General features: G+C 38.3%; 1 protein-coding gene across 28 annotated transcripts in view, besides 1 other annotated feature; it reads right to left on the bottom strand.

Annotated features, from left to right (window-relative positions):
- Positions 1–16294, bottom strand: part of KLHL24 (kelch like family member 24) — a 48897-nt gene that overhangs the window by 5479 nt on the left and 27124 nt on the right. For 15 of the 28 annotated variants that reach the window (XM_047448372.1, XM_005247552.3, NM_001349424.1 and 12 more), the window contains 4 exons: positions 15399–15583; positions 14002–14120; positions 7819–8007; positions 6557–6745 (listed from right to left, as the gene is read on the bottom strand). In XM_047448372.1, coding sequence (XP_047304328.1) covers positions 6557–6745; positions 7819–8007; positions 14002–14120; positions 15399–15583 — 682 coding nt within the window. Of the gene's footprint in view, positions 1–6556; positions 6746–7818; positions 8008–11852; positions 11928–14001; positions 14121–15398; positions 15584–16294 lie in introns of those variants that run through there. The other 13 variants (XM_047448371.1, NM_001349418.1, XM_017006655.2 and 10 more) reach the window with 3 other exon arrangements.
- Positions 11819–12327: an enhancer, noted in NCBI's record as "NANOG hESC enhancer chr3:183384502-183385010 (GRCh37/hg19 assembly coordinates)". NCBI's record gives its function as "activates a minimal SCP1, AML or CMV promoter by ChIP-STARR-seq in naive H9 embryonic stem cells {active_cell/tissue: H9 hESC(naive)}" and the evidence as "EXISTENCE:reporter gene assay evidence [ECO:0000049][PMID:30033119]".

Here is a 16294-nt window from a genome sequence, read left to right as displayed (position 1 = left end):
AGGATTTGGTAACAAACAGAAAAGCAAAATAATGCTTTAGCACAGTCAAAAAAAAGGGAGACATGATAAAAGCTAAGGTCCTTTGGCCCAACTCTGCTCTCTGTGTTCTGTGTAAGCGCTGGACAACTTTGCATGAATGAAATGAATTTCAAGATAGATGCTATGTCAGTAGCAGCCACAAGAAATAACGAGATCATGTCCTTTGTAGGGACGTGGATGGAGCTGGAGGCCATTACCCTTAGCAAACTTACACAGGAACAGAAAACCAAATACTGCATGTTCTCACTTATAAGTGGGAGCCAAATGATGACAACACAGGGACACATAGAGGGGAACAACACACACACGGGCCTTTCAGAAGGTGCAGAGTTGGGGGAGGAAGAGGATCAGGAAAATTAATGGGTACTAGGGCTTAAGAACTGAATGATGAAACAATCTGTACAACAAACCCCCATGACACAGTGTACCTATGTAACAAACCTGCACTTGTGCCCCTGAACTTAAAATAAAAGTTAAAAAAAAAAAAGATTATATGTTAGTAATTGGGGCCAAGATGTGGGAGGTAGGATGTGGACTGATAAAAGGGTTTTAACTTAATGGTAGTTAAGCAAAAGCATCTTTAAAGAGCCTGGCTTGCTTCTCCTATTACAGGAAGGTTATTATAGAAAGTGGCGGTTACATGACCAAGGAGTAGGAACAATATTCATTATATGGGATTACCCAAAAATTGAATGAATGAATGAGGAAAAAATTTATAACTAAGTTAACAAAACACTGTTATTAGGAGCCTTGGCTGGGCCATAGAAATGTCTCAAATAACATCTTACAGTTAACTTCCCACACAATGGGATTCTAAGCTAAATTTTATTATTCTCTGTCAATAACACAGTTACTATATAAAACAAATATTCTTGCAAGGATGAGAGTGATTCTTCAAAAACAAAACCTGGCTGGGCATGGTGGCTCATGCCTGTAATCCCAGCACTTTGGGAGGCCGAGGCAGGTGGATCACTTGAGATCAAGAGTTCGAGACCAGTCTGGTCAACACAGTGAAACACCATCTCTACTAAAAATACAAAAAATTAGCTGGACGTGGTGGGGGGTGCTTGTAATCCCTACTACTCGGGAGGCTGAGGCAGGAGAATTGCTTGAACCCGGGAGGCGGAGGTTGCAGGGAGCTGAGGTTGTGCCACTGCACTCCAGTCTGGGTGATAAGAGCGAAACTCCGTCTCAAAAAAAATAAACAAACAAACAAACAAAAAACCCTACATTAACAACTGATTCACTATTACATGCATCTGGTTATACTGCAGGCCAGATATTCTTCCATTTCCAATTAAAGTTTCACTTTAATTCAGAGAGTTATTGCACCTTATTATCCTGGTTCCACATAACCAACAATGAAATAGTTTCTACCAATGAGTTCAATAAGCATTTTTACTTGACCAAATTTGCTTTATATAAATTTTGCTCTTATAGAAGAAATTAAATCTTGGTGGCTTTATATAATAGAAGGATACTATCTTTAGGTCTGAAAGAATTTGTGAGTACTTAAAAATGCCTATATTAGAATTTATAGACACCCAGAATGACTTAGCCTATTATCATATAGTGAAAGACACTTTAATTCAGAATACCACACCCCCATGAATTGCACCAATTATGGAACAAACTCTAATATTTTTCATTTAAAGCACAATAAGCGCTTTCTATAAATTCTTCAAGTTCTGAATATAATAAAAACAAACAAAAACCTTAGTTTTCAGGTACAAGCTAGTTCCCACTATTGAACCTCTAGTTATTTTGAGGATGATTCTAAAACAATATATAATTACATGGTCTGGTAATTAATACCATTTCAGATAATAATGCTCAGAGTTAAATAAAGCAAAGAACCTTGAAACCAAGTATTCATATCAGGAAATTACCTCTATCCGATATAATAGCTTATTTCATGCTAGTAAAATACCATTTACTCTGTTTGTTTATACTGTATGAAAAACTTACTCTTCATTCAGGAGTAAGGGCAGCTAGTAGGAACAATAATTTATCAATATATAAAGTTTTAATGTTATTTTTAAAGACTGAAACGAAACATGATCCTAACATTGCAAAGAAAAAAAAAAAAAACCAAAAAACCCTCTCGTTATTTTTGTATGCTTAAAATGTTAAACTGTCAACAATAGACAAAAAGAATCAGATTTCATTTAATTATTCTAATCTTTAATGGTATTTTAAATACCTGGTCTACTGAAGAGAGAGAAAAAAAGTCTTCATCACTGACTTTTTAAAAAATCCCACAATTTTTTTTAAAGGATGTTCCTGACACAGGTTAAAAAGCAAAATATGTTTTGAATAATAAGCTGTGTTTTTAGGAATTATGCAAAGTCAGAAGAGGCGTGGAAATGGTGAAGGACAAACAGAGAAATAGGCAGGGTCCATTAGGACTATAAAAAATAAAGACCTCATTTTTTTCAGCTCTTTTTTGCATTTAATATTCTAAGCATTTTAAAAAGCAACAGTATTGGGTTCATTTAACTGTATACAATGAAATTAGTTTGATTTATCCTTTTTCATCGGTTGGCATTAAAAGGGTAAACAATCACACACGGCTCAAAAATTACCTATCAATAACATGTGCATAAGGCCAGGTGCCGTGGCTCATGCCTGTAATCCCAGCACTTTGGGAGGCCGAGGCAGGCGGATCACCTAAGGTCAAGAGTTCAAGACCAGCCTGACCAACATGGCAAAACCCTGTCTCCACTAAAAATACAAAAATTAGCTGGGTGTGGTGGCATGCGCCTGTAATCCCAGCTACTTGGGAGACTGAGGCAGGAGAATCACTTGAACCCGGGAGGCGGAGGTTGCAGTGAGCCGAGATCAATGTGTGCATAGATGTATTTAGTAGCATTGGTGGTAACAATAAACAGAGGAGAGAAAATAATCACCTAAATCCCAGTACTAGATTTGAACTTCAATTATTTGTCTTTGTTAGACTTAATATACTTCTGATCCAAATGTTTATTTTCTTTAAATTTCTAAAGTCAATGAATGTTGTTTAATTAGAGAAAATGTGCCATGTGTGTCCTATTATTAATTTTTTTCTCAGTTTTATCTCAATAACCTAGTTAAAAAATATTCATGTATGCCCTGCAATATGCTACATACTGGCAATTATCTTCCTAAACTGTTATCGTTTTATACAATATAGCAAAGTTCCGAATAAATGGTAATTCTTTTTCTTTTTTCTTTCTTTTTTTTTTAAATTTTTTTTGAGACAGGGTCTCACTGTGTCACCCAGGCTGGTCCCTAACTCTTGGCCTCAGGTGATCCTCCTGCCTCAGCTTCCCAAGGTGCTGGGATTATATGCATGAGCCACTGCACCCAGCTTGAGCAGTAATTCTTAATAAAAATGCATCATTCTTTACAATCTTCACTGAAATAAACCAATAAAAAGCAGCTTAGATTTTTTAAAAATTAGAAATAAGTCTCAATACTTGACCACATGAGGATTCTCATGCAAGTAGGGTACACTGTCGCTTCTGTAGGGCTGGAGAATGGTTTTCCAGGGGAGGTCCCTGAGCTGGAGAAATGTGATTTATTTTTACTTACATGTGATATGAGAGGGAGAAAACGTAATACTCATTCTGTACCATGGAGCTGAAGTGCCTATTATGTCCCTTTCATTAACTGGGGCAATGTTACTGCATATATATTACTAATTGGAGACTATACCTCAATGTCAACAACTTTAGAAAAGTGGTTTTATATTCAAACCCTATTCACTATCCTTATAATCTATGCTGTATCTCTAATGTATCTTGCAAATAAGATTATCTTAAAATTAAGTCCCTCTGGTACTTCCTCATTTGTTTACTTATTCAATATATATATATTTACTATGCAGAAATAAATGCAAGATACATACAAGATGAGTTAGAAGAAATAGTGTCCTCAAGAAGACTAAATTCTAGTATAGGAAATAAACATTTATACCCATAAGGGAATATACAATTGCCATAAGAGGTATGAGTGCTTTAACAGATCAGAAAGCAAAATAGATCCATTCTGCCCCAGTTAAACTCTGTTGTACTGAAGTGGTCCTTGAAAGATAAGTAGAATTACAAGTAGAGAAGGTAAAACAGGCATTACAGGATAAGAAGACAGCATGAACCAGGGCAAGAACATTTATGATCTGTTTAGAGACTACAAATGACAGATACTTAAGGTACCTGAGGTAAAGTTATAGAATGTGAAGCTGAAAGGTCAAATGAAGGTCAGGCAATAGAAGGTCTAGAATGAAGTGGTAAAAGTTTTGGATTTTATTTAATAGGTTTCCAATCAAAGAAGAGACAATAAGTAGATTTATTGAAAAATAATAGGCTGGGCATGGTGGCTCATGCCTGTAATCCCAGCACTTTGGGAGGCTGAGGCAGGTGGATCACAAGGTCAGGAGTTTGAGACCAGCCTGGTCAACATAGTGAAACCCCGTTTCTACTAAAAGTACAAAAAATTAGCTGGGCTTGGTGGTGGGCGCCTGTAATTCCAGCTACTCGGGAGGCTGAGGCAGGAGAATCACTTGAACCCAGGAGGCGGAGTTTGCAGTGTGTGGAGATCGCGCCATTGCACTTCAGCCTGGGTGACAAGAGTGAAACTCCGTCTCAAAAAAAGAAAGAAAGAAAGGAAGGAAGGAAGGAAAGAAAAGAAGGAAAGAAGGGAAGGAAGGAAGGAAGAAAGGAAAGAAAGAAAGAAAGAAAGAAAGAAAGAAAGAAAGAAAGAAAGAAAGAAAGAAAGAAAATTGATGCTAAATGAGCTAGCAAGACAAGCTATTAGAGAAAGGAAGACTAATTAGAGTATTTTTGTTTGTTTAGGTAAAACTTGGTAAGAACTTGAACAAAAATAGAAACAATAGGAATGGAAAAAATAGGAGAACTGATAGGCTAGATTAATTCAATTTAAGAGAAGAAAAAGATAATCTAATAAATTAAGTTTCTAGGTTAATTGGAAATATAGAAAAAACAGGTTTGGGGAAGAAGGTGAGTTCTATTTGAAATTTAAAATCTTGAAATACCCATGTAAAATATCAAATAAAATATCAAATAGGCAGTTAGAAATTTGAGTTTGGAACACAGGAGAGAGGCTTTGATGGCGATACAGACTTGGAAGACATCAGTGCTGAGCAGTAAATGAGATGATTCAGGAAAGAGTATAAACTGGGAAGAGGACAGAGGACAGGCTCAAGGAACATATTTAAGGACTGGGTAGAAAAACAAGAGAGTATGAACAAGAGTGAGGAGATTATTAGCAGTGACCTTTGAGAGTACATCTCTAGAGTGGTATGTGTAGAGCCAGATTTTCAGCATCAGAACCATCAAGCATTTTGGGGGTGGAAGGAAAAGGAGCCATGAATCAAAAGGTGGGGAAAAGGCCTTTTGGGAGGTGGCAGTGTGGGTAGGGAGTAGGGCTCCGGTTAGAATACATGGATGAAAGAAAGGTGAGCACAGCCATTTCCTTTACAACAGAAATAACAGATTTCCCAGCCTCTAACCAAAGAAACAACAAGTTTGGGAACATTCCTCTCTTCTGAAATATGAAAGAGAGGGGATAAATACTGGAGTAGGATTGTGAAAAAAGTCAAGAGAAAAAAAAAAGAACAGCCCAAGTGTAACAGATACTTCTCCATGGGATGGTAAAAAGGAAGTTATTTCAATAAAATGACCCCTTGGAAGGAGTTCAAAACAGGTTGCCATATGCTTTATGTGGAGTTTTGAAAAATATATAAAATAATTCAAGCAAACATGAAATATTTTATTTTACTTATTTATTTACTTTTTTGAGACGGAGTCTCACTCTGTTGCCCAGGCTGGAGTGCAAGTGGCATGATCTCGGCTCACTGCAACCTCTGCCTCCCAGATTCAAGTGATTCTCCCGCCTCAACCTCCTGAGCAGCTGGGATTACAGGCGTGTGCCACCAAACCCAGCTAATTTTTTATTTTATTTTGTTTTATTTTATTTTATTTTATTTTTATTTATTTATTTATTTTTGAGACGGAGTTTCGCTCTTGCTGTCCAGGCTGGAGTGCAATGGCTCGATCTCGGCTCACCGCGACCTCCACCTCCCGGGTTCAAGCAATTCTCCTGCCGCAGCCTCCCTAGTAGCTGGGATTACAGGCAATGCGCCACCACGCCCAGCTAATTTTGTATTTTTAGCAGAGACGGGGTTTCTCCATGTTGGTCAGGCTGGTCTCGAACTCCCGACCTCAGGTGATTGGCCTGCCTCAGCCTCCCAAAGTGCTGGGATTACAGGCATGAACCACCACGCCTGGCCATAATTTTTTAGTAGAGACGGGGTTTCACCATATTAGCCAGGCTGGTCTTGAACTCCTGACCTCAAGTGATCTATCCACCTCGGCCTCCCAAAGTGCTGGGATTACAGGCGTGAGCCACCACGCCCAGCCTGAAATATTTTAAAATTGAAATTCCAGTGTATTAATAATGATTATGTACTTGGTCCCTCTTAGATTTATTTTTCTTTTGTACTGCTTTATGTTATTACCTGACGGCTGAATGTATTCTGTACGTGCATCCAGTAATCTTCAACTGGATCGTAACAGTATATTGCCTTGGTCAGTCCACCGGCAACATAGATCAGGTTGTTTAGGGATACAGCTGTTATACACCTTTTGGCAATTGGGATAGCTGCACGAAGTAGCCAAGAATTGGTTTCTGGATCATAAGATTGAACCTAATAACATATAAAAATATATAATTAAAATTTCTAAACAAAAATGGAAATGTACTTAATAAAGAATCTACCAATACCTACAAACATTATTTAAAATAAAATCCTATTAATTCAGAGAATTAAGAGAGGTTAGCCTGATAGTGAAATGTCTGAATTACGAACATTCTCAAATAAAATGCAAATTTATTACTATCAAGCAGAATAGAGTACCAAACACACAGATTGTTTCTAGAATGAATGGCCACCAGGTTTGTCCACTAAAATTAACAGTCTAAATCTTTTCACAATTGTGTTATGTAGGATAACTATGCCTCACATCTGAATATAACTTCTTAATGCTTTTAGGGAGTCCTTTCTTCAAAAGAAAACAAGTAAACCTCAATTCAATCAGTATGCTCTGAATTATCACAAATTCTGAAATAACAAATTCTAAATAAGTAACATTTGATCACATTATTTTAAACTGAATTTAGAAAAAGAATTAATAGACTGACAAAATTCAGTTAACAGTGCTAAACCAGCTAGGCATTAGATGCTTTTTTCCAGAATAAACATTTCCTGAGATGTCAGGATAGCACATATTCTTTCGTCCCAGAAGTTTACTGAACCGGAACAACTTTGAGCCATCCTCTATTTACACTAAGGAGGTTTCCTTTCCTTTTTTCTGAAAAATACTTCAAAAGTATGTAGAAAATGACCCAGTTGGAAGCAGCATATTTAGTTACTATGTCTTACCCTTTGCTAATTCACTTCTCAACTGTGTTTTGTATAAATAGTTTTTAGATTTTGTAGATGACAGCAAAGGCTCAGAACAATTTATTTAGTAGAAAACTTCTACACAGATAGTCTCATTTCAAAAAGATTGGATCACATTTGTTAGAGCAAATTGTTAGATATACTAGAGTCTCACTTTAGCAACCCAGAATTCAATGTTTTTCTCCAAAAGCATATAGTACCAGAAAATTTTTAAAAGACCCCTCACACTATGTGACCTGGCTACCTACTTGATAAGCCTTCTGTATTTCCCTTCTTGTACTTAATATTGGTAATTTCTTTAAAAGTGCATGGCTTACCTTATCAGAACAAGTATTATCATCAGGTCCTCCACCAATCACAAACAGTTTGCCTACACAGCTAGTCACTGCAGGAGAACTCACGGCTTCCTTAAGGGGAGCAACTTCAGTCCATCGATTTGAAAAGGAATCATAACATTCTACGCTGCTAAGTCTGTTTTGCCCATCATAGCCACCGACAACATATACCTATATGTAAAATACATGGAAAAATCTTAATTATCAAAAGTCTGAATTTTGAAGTAGTTGGCTAAAGAATTAAGGGATCTCTTCTCTTTAAAATGCCCTTGCTAAATAAATATAATTGCAATATATTTAGCTCAGAGTTTCTGAACCTTTTAAAAAATCATCATCCCCTACCACCATCACAATCCACGGAGCCTTTTTAGGTATTTTCTTCCTAATAGTCTTCCCTCAATAAAATTGTAATACCACAGAGAAATTGTGTATCTATTTACCTTAATGTATGTATATCTGTTCTTTACACAAGAAAGGGTACATTTTTTTTCATCTTCTAAGAAACAATCTTTGCCCCCTTGGGGGTAATACTGCTCACACTGAGAATGGTACAATTTAGCTTAAATATTCACACTTATGGGTAATGAAATATTTGATTATTATAAAGTATTAGAGCTGTGAAACTAAAATATTAGGAAAGAATTACTAGACTATGAGAGTGCTGGTCAGGCCTTTCTTTTAGTCCGTACAATACCTAGAAAAGTACTTGACACAAAATGAACTTTAAAGTTCACAGAGCTTTTATGTACATTTTCTTTTCACAAATAAGAGAAAGGTAGGGCAAATTAGTATCTTTATATGACAGGTGAACCAATCAGTAAGATATTTATTAAATGGCTTATATGCAAAAAATCCATGGTTTATATAGGGAACTTTCAACCTAACAAAGCTCTCCAGCAGCTTAACATCCACGTTTCTCTCTCTCTCTTTTTCTTTTTTTGGAGATGGGTCTCATTCTGTTGCTCAGGCTGGAGTGCAGTGGCATGATCACAGCTCACTACAGCCTCAACCTCCGAGGTTCAAGTAATCCTCTCACCTCAGCCTCCCAAGTAGCTGAAACCACAGGTGTGTATCACCACACCCTACTAATTTATTTTTATTTTTCACAGAGACAGGGTCTCCCTCTGTTGCCCAGGCTGGTCTCTAACTCTCGGCCTCAAGCCATTCTCCCACTCTCAAGCCATCCTCCTGCCTCAGCCTCCCAAAGTGTTGGGATTACAGGCGTGAGCCATCACGCCCAGCTCACATTTCTCTTAATGGACTGTCATCATTAACTCTTCCCTCCATAGCTAATTAACTATTAAGTCCCACTGAGTCTTCTTCCACAGCATCTTTCACATATACCCCTTCCTTTACGTTTCCCGCTGCCATCACCCACTTGAGGGTCCACAACATTTCATTCCTCTCAAATAACCTCCTGGCCTCCACTCTTGTTCTCTCTAAACCACAGATTATTCTTCCTAAAATACTTTATCAGTTCCTCTTAATATTTCAACAATGAATGTCTAAGGGTCAAGGCCACATTTCATAACTTGTCCTTCAAATTTGTCCACAATTTATCTTTCTGTGCACCCCCAAATTTCCACAGTACTCAATGCCACTTCTATCATGCATTTCTCACATTATGTTAAAATAATCTGTTGGTGAGTTTGTGTCCCCAACACTATGCAGCTCAGACAGGTTAAGTAACTTACAAAAGTCCACACAGCTATATGGAGTATGGAACCTGTGGCACGATGTAGCAATTAAGGGCACAGGCTTTGATCACCAGCTCTGCCATCCAATGTAAGGGCAATTTATCTACCCTTTTGGAGACTCAAATTTATTTCCTCAATTTTATAATTTTTTTTTTGAGGCGGAGTTTCGCTCTTGTTGCCCAGGCTGGAGTGCAATGGCGTGATCTCAGCTCACTGCAATGTCTGCCTCCTGGCTTCAAGGGATTCTCCTGCCTCAGCCTCCTGAGTAGCTGGGATTACAGGTGCCCGCCACCATGCTTGGCTATATTTCCTCAATTTTAAAATGTAGACAATCATAGTATCTATCACATGGCATAATTTTGAGGATTAAACTTTAATACGTATTCCTACATGTGTAAATTAAAATATAATACATGCCATGAGCATCAAGACAAAAGGCCTCTAGATTAAGAAAAGTCTGAGCTTTTGCCTCTGCTTTATCATTTTTTGTGTAATCTTGGGAAGTGACTTGATCTCTTTGGGGTTATTTATAAGATGACCAAGTTATATTAAATATTCTCCATTATTCCATCATCCCTTCCTACTCTAAGATTTTTTTCCTTTTCTTTTTTTTGACAGAGTCTCACTCTGTCACCGGGCTGGAGTGCAGCAGGCAGCTCACTGCAGCCTCTGCCTCTCAGGCTCAAGTGATTCTCCTGCCTCAGCCTCCCAAGTAGCCGGGATTACAGGTGTCCGCCACTATGCCCAGCTAATTTTTTGTATTTTTGTAGAGACAGGGTTTCACCATGTTGGCCAGGCTGGTCTTGAACTCCTGACCTTGTGATTTGCCTGCCTCGGCCTCCCAAAGTGCTGGGATTACAGGCGTGAGCCACCGCACCCGGTAATTTTTTATTTTTTCTTGAGGATTGCAGCCTAAGACACACTTCTAAGTTACACTGGGGAGTGCTCCCCTAAGATTCTATATTCTAAACCATCCCAGGTTTCCTTAAACAGAGTATTTATAAATTTAAGTATGTTTTATAAGCTTGAATTAAATCTATATTGTAATTTTAGCAAAATGACTTCCATGAATTGAGTACTTGCTGTGTAAGGTAGGAATGATTCCTTTTCTTTATTGATTTAGTGCTTCTAAGCTTTGGGTATCTTCAAGTCAAGTACACTATTTTGTCAAATAAATTTGAGTTTACCAATACATACATGGTTTTTGAGACATCAGTACTTTTCATTTGCCTTTGTATCAGCATCTCCTTCCAACCCCTGGATTATTTTAGCCCCTCTTTTCCAGTAATATTTTGTCCTTCTTGAGGCACAGCCTCAAACACTATATATAATATAGTAAGTACTAACAAACCAAATGGTTTTAGAAAAGATTCTATTAATATTTTATTTCCAGTAAATCTGTCTCAAGGTCCTCATTATTTCATTGGCCTTGTAGACAGCAGCAGCACACTAGATCCAGGTCGTTAGGAATTAACAGCTTTTAAACTGTGTTTTGAGCTGGGCATGGTGGCTCATGCCTGTAATCTCAGCACTTCGGGAGGCTGAAGCAAGAGGATGGCTTGAACCCAGGAGTTTGAAACCAGCCCAGGCAACAGGATAAAACATTATCTCCACAAAAAATACCAAAATTAGGTGTGATGGTGTGTGCCTGCAGTCTTAGCTACTAGGGAGGCTGAGGTAGAAGGATCACTTGAGCCCAGGATGTCCAGGCTGCAGTGAGCCATGACTGTGCTGCTGCACTACAGCCTCAGCAACACAGCAAGACCCTATCTCAAAAAATAAAAATATATAAACTGTTTTGAGAAGCTCTAGTATTCTACGCAGCAGTCCCCAACCTTTTTGGCACCAGGGAGCGGTTTAATGGAAGACAATTTTCCCACAGGTCTGGGTGGGGGGCTGGTGGGGGACTGGTCGGGGATGGGATGGTTTGGGGATGTAACTGTTCCACCTCAGATCATCAGGCATTAGATTCTCATAAGCAGCCACAACCTAGATATCCCTCATATGTGCTGTCCATGCTCCTATGAGAACCTAATGTGCGCTGATCTGACAGGAGGTGGAGTTGAGGCGGTAAAGCTCGCTCAGTGGCTGCTCACCTACTGCTGTGCAATTAGATTCCTAACAGAACGCTGACTGCAGTGGCAAAATCTTGGCTCACTGCAAACTCCGCCAGAAGCGATTCTTCTGCCTCAGCCTCCCGAGTAGCTGGGACTACCGGTGCGGACCACCATGCCCGGCTAATTTGTGTATTTTTAGTAGACAGGGTTTCACCATGTTGGCCAGGATGGTCTCGATCTCTTGACCTCGTGATCCACCTACCTTGGCCTCCCAAAGTGCTGGGATTACAGGTGTGAGCCACCACGACTGGCCTAGTATAGAAGTTTTAAGAAACCCCTGTGGGGAAAGAGAGGAAGGAGGACTAGTAAGAGGCTGACCAAGAAGGGTTCCTGGTCACCATTTCTGTTTCAGCTAGAGCTTTGTTTTTTTATTGGTGGTACTTAACTGTCTCCATAGGAGGGCCTATGAGACAGCAATCTTCTTAGAAAGGGGTGCTAGGAGATCAGTCAAAGACATATGCGAAAGCAAGTGTGCTGCTTTTAGTTGTTCATTAATTTGAGGTGGTTTTGGACAAGCAGATGGAGATGGGGGCAGGGAGAAGCTAAAGACTCCAAGGTAATCCTTGGTACAACTGTTGTATTTTCATCTGTTATGTAATAAATTTTTGTATTAGATATGACTTTTTAAAAGACAATATACAGGTTGAACTTTCCAAATCTTAAAAAATCTGAAATCCAAAATGTTCCAGATCTGAAACTTTATGAGTGATGACATTAATGCTCAAAGGAAATGCTCATTGGAACATTTCAGATCTTGGATTTTTTGATTTGGGATGCTCAATGAATATAATGAAAATATTCCAAAATATGAAAAAAATCCAAAATATTTGGCCCAGTGCAGTGGCTCATGCCTGTAATCCCAGCACTTTGGGAGGCTGAGGCAGGCAGATCATTTGAGCCCAGGAGTTCAACACCAGCCTGGGCAATGTGGAGAAACCCAATCTCTACAAAAAATACAAAATTAGCTAGGCATTGTGGTGTACACCTGTGGCCTTGGCTACTTGGGAGGCTGACGTAGAAGGGATAGTTTGGGTCCAGGAGGTCAAGGCTGTAGTGAGCAGTGATGGCACCACTGTACTCCAGCCTGGGCAACAGAGTGAGAACCTGTCTAAAAACAAAAGAAAAAAAAAATATCCAAAATCAGAAACACTTCTGGTCCCAAGCATTTTGGAAACTCCACCTGTAGTTGCTTTTAAAAAGTTTGGAAACTGGCTAGGTGCGGTGGCTCATAACTATAATCCCAGCCCTCTGGGAGGCCGAGGTGGGAGGATCACGAGCTCAGGAGTTGGAGACCAGCCTGGCCAACATGGCGAAACCCTGCCTCTACTAAAAATATAAAAATTAGCCAGGTGTGGTGGCGAACACCTGTAATCCCAGCTACTCAGGTGTCTGAGGCAGGAGAATCACTTGCACTGGGGAGGCAGAAGTTGCAGTGAGCTAGATAATGCCACTGTACTCCAGCTTGGGCAATAGAGTAAGAGACCTTGTCTCAAAAAAAAAAAAAAGTTTGATTCTCAGGTTCCTACAGACAGTAGATGGTTTAGAACCCAAATAATGTATTGTTTATAATAATCATTAGCTGCAGTCAAAAATAGGTTTTCTTTAAAAATGTGAGTTTTTTTATTTTTATTTTTATTTTTTTGAGATGGAGTCTCGCTCTGTTGCCAGGCTGGAGTGCAGTGGTGCGATCTTGGCTCACTGCAACCTCCGCCTCCCGGGTTCAAGCGATTCTCCTGCCTCACCCTCCTGAGTGGCTGGGACTACAGGCACCCGCCACCAACCCCAGCTTATTTTTTGTATTTTTAGTAGAGATGGGGTTTCACCACATTGGCCAGGATGGTCTCGATCTCCTGACCTCATGATCTGCCCGCCTCAGCCTCCCAAAGTGCTGGGATTACAGGCGTGAGCCAACGTGCCTGGCCTGTTAGTGAGTTTATCTTAATATTTATTTAAAATAAAAAAGATAAAATACATGACTTTGGACAAATATATCTCTGCCTGACTTGCAAAGTTAGTAAAAAGAAAACAAACTGCGTGGGTTAGACATTGGCCTGTCTGTATTTGATGTAACTCCTTTATTTTCCAATGCTTCTTAGGCATTTGGACTTCAGTGATGCATGAGAAGAGAAATGTGCTACACTGCCATGAATTCCAAATTAGGAGAACAAAATATCCATTCAAAAGTACAGTGTCATATTGTTTATATCTTTGGTTTATCTATTGAGGTTAGAAATGGAAGGAAATACAATTTGAATCCAAAATACCCAGAGGGTGAGTAAAATGAAAGATTCAGCTGTGGTATTTACTTTGGAAAGGTACCAGCAATAGTAATAAAAAGTGGTTTCTCTTACTTTACCAAGGAGGACAGCCATTTTGTGACGCCATCTGCCTTTATTGAGAGAGGCAACTCTGATCCAAATATTTAACTGTGAGTTATAAATCCAGACATCACGGCTGTTGATTCTTCCACCTTGAAATGCAAAACAATGCACACACGATAATTTATCATGATATAGCTGTCACCAAGAGATCTGTGCCACCAAGGCATAGGTAAAGAAAACATGGAATTCATTCATCTAATTCAAGAATTTGAGAATTCAGCTCAATAAATAAAGACCTCTTGAAATTTAATGGAAATAGTTCTACAGAGAAAATTTAAACTTTACCAATTGTTATCTTGATAAGTGATAATTATAGATCCAAAATAATTAAATATAGGATGTGAATTTTACAAACATAAAAGATTGTTAATTTAAGAGTAAGACATCAGAAGCACGCAAATAATGGTATTATTCTAAAGGTTTTTTTTTTAATTGACCGATTTTTCAAAAAGCATACTATTGTAAAAAATAAAGTATGTATTGTTATATTTCTCAGTGTGGATAATATATATAATAATCTGCAAAGCTGGTGAAATTATTTTACCAATTAACAGACTTCCCATCATAGATACTATAGTTATACTTTGTACAAGTCTGTCATTTTATTTTCTAATTTTAAAGGTAACATATCACAATCATAAAGAAGTTCAAGTTAAGAATTTTAAAGCAAATCTTATTTCATAAACTTTGCGGAGAATTTCAGAAAACATGGGTGAATTAGAAATGCTTAATTCTATGAGTACTTCTGACTTGCAAAGAGGTAAAGTTTAAAAAATTACAGCATATTCTACATGCATTTGAGAGCATTTAAAATATGACATGATTAAAGGTATCTTCTGGTGGATCTTTTGTAAATCATTCCATGTCATCTTGTACCTGTGTTTTTTTTGTTGTTGCTTTTTGTTTGTTTTTTGTTTTTGAGGCGGAGTCTTGCTTTGTCACCAGGCTGGAGTGCAGTGGCGCGATCTCGGCTTACTGCAATCTCCGCCTCCCGAGTTCAAGTGATTCTCCTGCCTCAGCCTCCTGAGTAGCTGGGACTACAGTTGCCCACTACCACACCTGGCTAATTTTTGTATTTTTTAGTAGAGATGGGGTTTCACCATGTTGGCCAGGATGGTCTCGATCTCCTGACCCGGTGATCTGCTTGCCTCGGCCTCCCAAAGTGCTGGGATTACAGGCGTGAGCCACCGCGCCTGGCCTTGTACCTGTTTTTAAGAGCAAAAAGTCATTCTTGGTTTTATTTGTTGTAAACTGATCTTCCTCAAGTGGGAGTATTCACATTTCACTATTTTAAGACACTGTTGATGTTTAAAATAATGAAGCTGTGTCCAAATTAAAAGTAGCTACTGTAATAATTCTATATTTACCTGAAACAAGAATGTCATTCCTTAGAGCACAGACTGCATACTCTGATTTGGTAAATTCTGGAAGCTTAGCCAAAGACTTCCATTCTCCTGTTACAGGATCGTAGCACTCAGTGTATGGAAGATTAAATCCTCCAACTCGCTCACATCCTCCAACGACAACTATCACCTCAGAATAGCCAGTGGACCTAAAATAATAATTATTAGCGTACATAAATAATATAATAATATTACATTAAAATATACTCCAGATTTTTTCTTAAAACTCTAAAAACAAACCACGCACTATTATAAACAGTTAAGTTTCTTCTCTGTGCATGTGCCAAACGGTACAGCCTGGAAATTACTTACTTTGAGAACGTTTATAGGGGAGCTAGTGACATCATTATTCCACAGAAAATTTCTGTTGCTATTTTTTTCTATTGGTTTTGACCTGAAAATTGTAAAAAAGTCCAAAGATCCTATCTAACCCAATCAGAATCCTGGCAATATTAAGGATGACTTTCAAATGCAGTTTTGCAGTGATTCAGATACGCATAACCACACAAGGTAAGATAATGCATTTTTTTCTAACTGTAGGAAAATGGTGCTCTTTCATCAGCTTGCTAGTTCTAAAAAACTAATTCATAGTATAATCCAAGCACCCTTTAAAGGAATATGTATATGTACTTGTTCAGAAATTAGTTTTTAAAATACAAAGTCAAGTAAATTAAGGTAATACAACTCAAAATGTTGGGCAATCACTAAAAAGGCTAACAGTTTATAACAAGAATGTTAAAGGAGAAAAGCAAGATGAAAAACTGTACATTAGGCATATTCAATACTATCTAAAAAATGTATCTGGAAAGAATATACCAAAATGCTAAAGATAGTTGTCTCTGAATTGTTTGGCTCCCCCC

The sequence above is a fragment of the Homo sapiens genome, chromosome 3, assembly GCF_000001405.40.
Source record: "Homo sapiens chromosome 3, GRCh38.p14 Primary Assembly".
Taxonomy (NCBI): Eukaryota; Metazoa; Chordata; class Mammalia; order Primates; family Hominidae; genus Homo; species Homo sapiens.
The sequence above is the reverse complement of the archived record's forward strand: the minus strand, read 5'-3'. Positions and strand labels throughout refer to the sequence as shown.